The 8317-nt window shown below is 55.6% G+C and overlaps 1 protein-coding gene across 62 annotated transcripts in view, besides 2 other annotated features; it reads right to left on the bottom strand.

Annotated features, from left to right (window-relative positions):
- ADGRG1 (adhesion G protein-coupled receptor G1) overlaps positions 50–8317 on the bottom strand; it is a 45830-nt gene continuing 37562 nt past the window's right edge. For 32 of the 62 annotated variants that reach the window (NM_001370440.1, XM_047434907.1, NM_001370436.1 and 29 more), the window contains 5 exons: positions 8126–8244; positions 5936–6204; positions 4741–4849; positions 3652–3920; positions 50–2165 (listed from right to left, as the gene is read on the bottom strand). In NM_001370440.1, the coding sequence (NP_001357369.1) occupies positions 2035–2165; positions 3652–3920; positions 4741–4849; positions 5936–6204; positions 8126–8244 (897 nt within the window). In that variant the 3' untranslated portion in view covers positions 50–2034. Of the gene's footprint in view, positions 2166–3651; positions 3921–4740; positions 4850–5935; positions 6223–8125; positions 8245–8317 lie in introns of all 62 variants that reach the window. The other 30 variants (XM_006721340.4, NM_001370428.1, NM_001290142.2 and 27 more) reach the window with 1 other exon arrangement.
- Positions 4610–5608: an enhancer, noted in NCBI's record as "H3K4me1 hESC enhancer chr16:57693921-57694919 (GRCh37/hg19 assembly coordinates)". NCBI's record gives its function as "activates a minimal SCP1, AML or CMV promoter by ChIP-STARR-seq in naive H9 embryonic stem cells {active_cell/tissue: H9 hESC(naive)}" and the evidence as "EXISTENCE:reporter gene assay evidence [ECO:0000049][PMID:30033119]".
- Positions 5609–6607: an enhancer, noted in NCBI's record as "H3K4me1 hESC enhancer chr16:57692922-57693920 (GRCh37/hg19 assembly coordinates)". NCBI's record gives its function as "activates a minimal SCP1, AML or CMV promoter by ChIP-STARR-seq in naive H9 embryonic stem cells {active_cell/tissue: H9 hESC(naive)}" and the evidence as "EXISTENCE:reporter gene assay evidence [ECO:0000049][PMID:30033119]".

Genomic DNA, 8317 nt, shown 5'->3' with positions numbered 1-8317 from the left:
AGGAGCGGGAGGAGAGATTGATTTGGTGGAACAAGGTTAAAGGCAGGGATGGGAGAGAAGTCCAGTGATTTAATTCTTGCAGCCCACCTGCTGCAGAGTGATCAGTAAACTGGTTGCATAAATCCCAGGACCAGGCAGCTTTTGACTGTAATCTCTTTGGCCAGAAAATGTTTTGGATTCGCCAAAATTTTAAAATCAGGGGATGTCAAACCACAGTCTGGATTTCCCATTTCTCATAAAAGGCAGGTGGTCTGGCTACATGGGCCCTCATCCCTGCAAGGTAGTGACCAGCTGGAGCTGATGAGCAGCCACGCTCTCAGCATGGGGTTGGGAGTCTCCAGTTCGCCACAGGCCCCACCACTCCCCATTGCCTCCCCAGCACAGACACCAAGTTGCCATTTATCTTCCCCTGTGCCCTGGTTGATGAGGTTTCCAGCAGTCGATTTTTTTTTTTTCTTCACACACAGCCCTCTTCTCTCTTTCATGTTTCCTGATTGGCCCCAAGGTATTTGTATTAGTATCAGTGACTCTTTCAATAGAAGCACAGGAAAAAGCTCAGAAGGAAATGACCCAAAATGCTTACGCCAGTTTGCTAGGTGATTACAACAGCTGATTTTTATTTTTCTTCTTGATTCTCTTCTACAGTTTCCAAATTCTCTACAATGAACATGTACTTCTTTTTAATATCAAAAGACAAAAGAATTGGTACGTAAAAAGAACATCCTTCCCATCTTCAAGGTCAAGATTGAACGCTGACTCCTGCAGGAAGTCTTCCAGGATTCCCAGGCAGGAATGATGGCTCCCTGTCCCTGTAGCTCCAGGAGTTCTTGCTTCACGCACGCCTCACATACCAGACTGAATGTTGGCAGGAGGAGTGACCAGGTCGGTCATCTGTGTCCCTACCACCTACAACAGGCCAGCAATCTACCCGTGTGTGTTTGTTGGACAGAATTAACCATGATGGGCGGCCGAGGGCGCCTGGAGCTATTTGGGGGCTTGGAGAGAACCTCTTAGGAGAGTGTCAGGCCCTAGGCCAGTGTCACCAGAGGAGGTCAGTCTCAGTCCTTGGAGTGGTGGGATGGAAACCAGACGGGACTGGCATGGTCCACAGTTCTTGCCACAAGAGGGCTTCAGGAGAGGCTGAGGGCCCCTCTGAGGCGTGTGCTTGGTCAGGGTGAGCAAGGGCAATGCAGCTCATACAAAGGCCCAGATGGACAGAGGGACCTAGCCCAGCCCACGCATCGGTACCGAGCCTGGCTCAGGGGCAGGCCGAGGCTTGTGCAGTAGACAAACATTTACAGCAGACACCAGGCAGCTCCTGGAAACCACTCCCCAAAAAACAGCATTGGAATCGGGGACCCCCAGCTGTGAACGAAGGAGCAAGGAGGCCCTGGGAGAGGAGGAGAACCCCAGGGAAGATGGAGGGAGGACTGGGGGGCTGAGGGAGGGAGGGGGCCTGGGCTCAGAGGTAGGCGAGCTGCTGCTGTGCTCCTGGCAAAGGGCCTCTCCTCCGCCAGGGCTCTGGCCCTGAAGGTCTGCCCTGGGCCCCATTCGCCCTGGGTGCCACCTGAGGTTAAAATGACAGAGGATGCAGAGTGCCCTCAGGGTGACCACGAGAGACAGAGCAACTGGAGCCACATTTCTGTCCCAGGCAGGGGCACAGGATTAAGGATGTGCCAGACCCTCAAGATCCAAGGCCTGGCCCCCAGCAATGAGGGCTGGGCCCAGGGGTTGTAAGGAGAGACCAGGCCTCCAGCTGGGTTGGGACAGATGTGGGGACAGTACCCTAGGCAGCATGGCGGCGCACTTCTGAGTCCCGTGGGAGCTGAGTGAGAGCCGAGTAGTCCCCAAGGCCAATTCAAAAGCCCAGCCCGGGAGTCCGTCCACCATGGCAACGGCCCATCTCTCCATGGTCGTTGGGCTTTCCAAAGTCTGCGGCTGACTGGCCTGGGGCTGGGCCGGGCTCGGGGGCCACAGGCAGTGTGCGACGAGGCCGAATCTCTGCTTCATCACATGGGCAGGTGGGCTGGAGGCCTAGATGCGGCTGGACGAGGTGCTGCCCGAGCTGATGGGGAGCCTGGCGCTGTCTGAGTTGCTCTTCAGAGGGGAGGGGCCACCCCGGGCCTGCAGCCGCATGGACCAGTACCAGATGAAGATGAGGAAGCCTGCGGGCAGTGAGGGCACGGGGTCAGCAGGTGGGGGAGCCCCACCCCATCCCTCCTCCTCCCTCCCCAGCCATTGTGACTCGGGTCTGCCCCACCTCTCCATAGTGTTTGCCAAGCACGTGCTGTCGGGCACCCATGAGACCCAGCGAGCACCTCCTATGAGCCGGGCACTGTGCTGCGTCCCCGTGTGGCCTCTCACTGTCACAAACTTCCTAGGCCCATCCTATTCATTACTATTCTCTTTTGTAAACAAGGAAACTGAGGCCCAGGAGGCTCAGGTAAAGGGACGTGGCTGAGCCAGGGCTCAAACTGTGGTGAACAGGCTCTGAAGTCCACCCACTTAAGCACTGTGAGATTTTGCACCCCTCAAATTAATAGCACTATGATGTATCCACAGCTTAGTAAATGTCTGTGTGAATGTATGGGCCTCACTTACAATCCTGAGTCCCCTCATCTCACAGGCAGGAATGAAGGCTTGAATGTTAAATAACCGAAATGTGGTAACATCTCCCCACCACCAACTCCCAGCTCCCATTCTAGGGTGACCCTGTATGGGAGGCTGGCCTTGAACCCCATGAGAGCCCCTGGGCCTGGCCATACAACCCCCTTCCATTCTGCACGGCCAGGAACAGAGGGGTGTGCATGCCTGTGTGTGCACCTCAATGTACACACACAGGTACATGCACAGAAAGGGACCCTGTTGGCATCAAGCCAGAGCCATCATGACCCTGCCCTGGGATCCCACCTCTCCGCCCCGACCCGCCGCCATCTGGCCACGCTCTCCCTCACTGTCCTTCCTACACACAACCGGTTCCAACCTCAGGATCTTTGTTCTTGCCTCTCCCTCTGCCTGGAGCTTCCTTCCCCTAGACCAGGGCTCCTGATCCTATCATGTGCACGTGACCCCTTGGGCATTTGTGAAAATGCAGATTCTGATGTGGCAGGGCCCGGGTGGCCCAGAGGCTGCGTTTCCAAAAAGCTCCTAACAACGCTGCTGCTGCTGGTCTGTGGACCGCGCCTGGAGTAGGGAGGCCCCCCCATCTCTCCATGGGGGGATCCTTCTCTTGTCTTCACACGTCTCATATCCAGAGAGGCCTCCCTGGCCACCCTTCTTAGGGTGTCCCCCACCCCAGCCGAGGCCCTGTGCAGCACGTGCTCACGACGATGTCCCTACTATCTGGGACCACCTTTGATGGCTATATGCTTGCCTGCTCATGCGCAGTCTTCCCCAGTAGAGCTGAGTTCCAAAAGAACAAGGCCCACACCCAACCAGCTCAGCCATAAGCCCTGTGGCTTAACACAGGGCCTGCACATAGTAGGTGCTCAATCAAGACTTGTTGACTGTGGCCTGGATGTCCCCATTTTATGAATGGGATGACTGAGGCCCAGAGAAGGGAAGTCTTCAGGTTCCCTGGGTGATCTCTTCCCTGCCCTTGCTCCATGTGTAGACACCCTGCCTGGGCCAAGGGACGGGTCTTCTCCTTACCTTGGAAGGAGGTGATGATGCTGAAAAGGTAGAGGACGACAAGCTGGAAGGTGCCAGAAGCAAAGGAGAAGAAGATCAAGGCCCAGGGCAGGCCAAGGACCAGGCTGAGGCCCAGCAGTGTCAGCACATGTGACCACTTTTGGGTGTGGGGGCGCAGCCGCAGGATCTGCACCACCATGGTGGCTAGCATGGCCATGTTGAACAGAAACACCAGGCTGAAGAGGCCCAGGTTGGTGATGTAGCTGACCAGGGAGTCCCGGATCCAGCACCTGCGGGCAAAGGCAGGAGGGCTCAGCGTGTGGCCAGCACGGGCAGCATTTCCTGGGCTGTGGTTGTCATGTTTGTTTTCAGGATTATCCACTGTTTACAGCAAGTGCGCTTGTTTTCTATTTACAGTGTTGATGTAATTTTAAAAATACATTTGAGTTAACAAGTCAGATTGTTTAAAGGAAAATGTTAAGTAAGTAATAATATAGATAGTACAAAAGTGAGGCAGAAATCACTGGGTCACAACATAAAGAGCTGAAAATTTCAAAACCACTGAGCCAATGGGAAGGATTCCTTCCCAGGCTGGAGCTCAGGAACCCTGGCTTCCGGTTTGGGTTCAGGGGATCCACAGGCAGGGCCGCTGCCAGCCTGGGTGAATCAGGTGAGTGGAGAAGGACTGGACTTCAACCCCACTCATCCTCTGCCTCCGAACAGCACACCAGCCCTCAGTGTGGCCAAGAGCGGATCTCTTCCCTCCCTGAGCCTCTGTCTTCCCATCTGCATGGGGAGACAGAGAGGTGCTGCTGAGGAATGTGGTGAGGCTCATCTGCTCCAACCCATACCCCCATTCATGCATGAGGAAACCGAGGCTCAGAGAAGGGCCGGGGCCTGTGCAAGGTCACCTGGTGAGTGAGTGGTAGATCCAGGCCTTTTCTCACCCTCCATGACTCTTAGACCAGTGCTTCAGCCACTGCCAGGCCAATTCCTCGAGGAGACTGGAACCCAGGTGTCCCCTGGCCAGCATGACCTGGGCCCGGGCTGCACTCTGGCCTCTGTGCCCAGAGACCCACCTTCTTGCCCCCATTGCACACAGCCACTCACATGGAAGGGTAGATGACGCCCTCTGGAGTCCTATGCACAGCCAAGATGATGGGGCCATAGTTGTCCACATCCACCAGGGCCACCAGCGTCACCAGAAAGATGGGGAAGCCTGAGGGTGGCAATGCATGTTGCTCTACTTCCCGCTCTCTGAGGCCTGCCCATTCCCTGCTGGCCTCAGGGAGTCTGGAGGGCAAGGGCCCCTCTGAAGTTTGGGCTCCTGAAGCCCACCCAGCCCCATCTGGTGGGGAAGTTCCCCCAAGTTTGGACCCTCCCCCTCCCCATTCCAGTATGGGTTTCCTATAAGGGGATGCCATCTCCTCCAACCTTAGCCCTGCCCTTCGTCACCCTGGGGGCCCCTGGGAGAAAGGCCTGTGGGTCTCTGCTGCAGGGCTGGATGTCACAGGGGAGATGGGAGGGGCAGACAGTTTAGGAGGGACGGCAAGAGTTCTGCCATCAGGGGACGTCTGCACTGGGCCTTGACCTCGCCCGTTCGGTGGAGATTAGAAGCTCCCTAGAGGGGGCTGCCCACCTCCAAACACAAAGTCCTGACACAGAGACACCTCCAAAGGAATTTCATGCAAATGGGGGAATGGACAAAGAAGGGGCCCAATGACAAACCCGCGAAGAGCAGCAAGCTGGAGTCAGGGGCATGCGGAGGTTGAGGGGTCTGTGCAATGTCCAAACAGACTTGTGGCATCATGAGCCCCTGGGCTGTAGGTCTGACATAAGAGGGCTGGCCACAGGTGAATTGAACAGTCATTGGCCAAGAACAAAATGCCAAGCCACAGGGAATCTGTTACCCAAGGTCCAGGGGGATCCTGAGGCAGGGCCACTGCCAGCCCGAGTGAATTAAATGACTGGAGCGGGACTGGATTTCAGCCCCTCTGATCTCTGAACTGGGTGCCTTTGAGCAGTGCACAACCTGCACATTCACACACGGTGGCCCTGCTCGTAAATCCCCTTTGCAATGGAGTGAGTGATGTGGAGAATTTGGAAGTGTTTCTTGGGGACAGGGCTCACTGCTTCTTCCTAAAGGGGACCTTGATTCAGCCAAGGTGAAGGACACCTGAGGATGAGTGAAGGAGGCCAGGAGGGAAGTCAGAGAGATAGGTGGAGAGGCAGAACCAGGTGCCTGGGTTTTGCCAGAGCCAAGTGGGAGAGGCAGGTCTGAGGCACCCCCCGCCCAACCACTTACCCCAGCCCATGGCGCTCAGCTTGAGTAGGTAGCCAGGGACATAGGTGCCAAAGACCTCCACCACGAGTCGGTAGAGGTTGTACCCCTCGAGGCCCATCCAGGAAAGGCAGGTGAGCAGGGAGAAGTGCAGGAAGATGGCACTGGCTCGGCAGCCAGCCTCAGAGCCTGTCAGGGCCACCGGCTCGCTGAGCAGGAAGCTCGTGTCCAGCAGGAAGACGGCCAGCAGCAGGTTCATGTGCACCTTGATGGTGTAGTCCCGAGGTTTCCTCCTGCACGGCAGGGGCACCCTGGTGGGCCAGTGTGGGAAGGTAGAGAGGGGAGTGTGCCCACATCTCCTCCAGGAAGCCTTCCCAGACTGCCCCCCACCCCGACACACACATGCAGTCATACATGGCCCCTATCCTATTCCTGTGGCTGCAGCCAAACTGTTCCCCACATCCCCCTGTGCACCTACTGTGTGCCCAGCACCCACAGACTCAGGCACCACGTGCACGTTTAACAGAAGCCTCAGCCAGGCAGAGCGAGGAAGACAACCACAGTAATAAACCAGATACTCTCAAAGTCAGAGCGGAAACACTTTGGCATTTTCACCATGTTGGAGAATCCATGCCATCCACATTCTGTGTCTTCCCGTCTGTCTGCACAACTGTGCACCTGTGAGTCTGAGTGTGGGCTGCCCGCATCGGTCTGTCTGAGGTTTGCAAGTCAATGTGTGCACACCCCACCCCACCCCCACTCCAGGATTCTACATGGCCCTAGAGGGTGCAGCAGAACATGCAGGCCCCAGTGTCACCATCCTGGAGTCCCACCCTGCCCTGCCCCTAACTCATGGCACCATCTTCAGCTGGTCCCCTCCCCTTGAGACTCTCAGTTTGCCTATCTGTGAAGTGGGAGGATGGTACCCTCATAGGGTTGGGGTGAGAGTTACACTGACACAAAGCATCTGACACAGATAAGGTGCTCAGTTCCTAAGGGTTCCTGTGCTGTGTCCTTGGGCATGTTTGTGAGCAACTGGGTGTTGAGGACTTCTGCCTCCACCCCCAGCCTTCCGCCGAGCCCATCTCATCACCCAGCTGTCCTTCCTCATCACCATCACCTACTTAGCTCCCCAGGTACACAGCTGTGCACACACAGGACAGTCATATAGGCACACACGTGCTTGTGCACACGCATAAATACAGCTTCACTTTCCTCTCCTTCCTCGTGGCTGGGGACAGTGAGAACCGAGGGTGCCTCTCCTCTACCCAAATGGGTTCAGCGCTGAGGGCAAGTGGACCCCAATTTAGGCCAAGCCAAGCACTGACAATCTGACCTCTGCCACTTCCTTGCTGTGTGACCTCAAGCAAGTCACTTACCCTCTCTGAGTGTTCCTTCATAGGGCTGTTGTGAGGATGAATTGAGTTCACACATGTAAAACACTTAGAACAGTGCATGGCACACGGGAAGTTTGACACACGTTAAGTATGATCATTACCGCTGTGATATTATTGTGTCCACCCAGTGCTCTCACAAATCTGCTTATTCAAAGGCAGAAATGAAAAATCTTTCCTTTTTTAAGTTTTTTATTTTGCTTTCCTGTCTTACTCTAGGAAAGAAACAGATTCTTAGGTGGACTCTCTCAATTTTAAATGTTGACAATTAGCCTGGCACAGTGACTCATGCCTGTAATCCCAGCGCTTCGGGGGGCTGAGGTGGGTGGATCACTTGAGGTCAGGAGTTCGAGACCAGCCTGAGCAACATGGTGAAACCCCGTCTCTACTAAAAATATACAGATTAGCCAGGTGTGGTGGCAGGCGCCAGTAGTCCCAACTACTCAGGAGGCTGAGGCACAAGAATCACTTGAACCCGGGAGGCAGAGGTTGCAGTGAGCCGAGATCATGCTACTACACTCCAGCCTGGGCGACAGAGGCAAGGCTCTGTCTCAAAAAAATAATAATAATAAAATAAAAATAAAAATAAATAAATACAATGTCGACAGCTAAAATTTGTAAATACTATGTTATCCAAACACCACTGATCTGAGGAGGAGACGTGGCCCCCAAGGGTCAGCTTACCCCAAACAGCTCCCCTAACCACACACACAGTTCCAGGTCATGCGGGCGGGCCATGACCGGAGATGTGTGCGGCGCCCTGGTGGAGGTGTGTGCAATGGAGGGTCCCCTCCCCTGTCCCACCCCTTTCAGGCCTCACCTGGAGCAGAGGTAGGCGGCAATGGTGACAAGGCAGGCCAGGGCAGAGACGACACAGCCCACGTAGGAGAGGAGGCTCAGGTAGTGCTTGTGCACGGCGTCCACCTCCACCGAGGAGACCTGGCCCCAGGAGACAGGAGAGAGCTGGCCTCTGTGTCCCCCACACAACCTGGAGGCTTGCCCTGCGTGAGGG

This window comes from Homo sapiens, chromosome 16 (assembly GCF_000001405.40).
Source record: "Homo sapiens chromosome 16, GRCh38.p14 Primary Assembly".
NCBI classification, from domain to species: Eukaryota; Metazoa; Chordata; class Mammalia; order Primates; family Hominidae; genus Homo; species Homo sapiens.
Note: the sequence above shows the minus strand (reverse complement) of the source record. Positions and strands in the feature narration are given on the sequence as shown.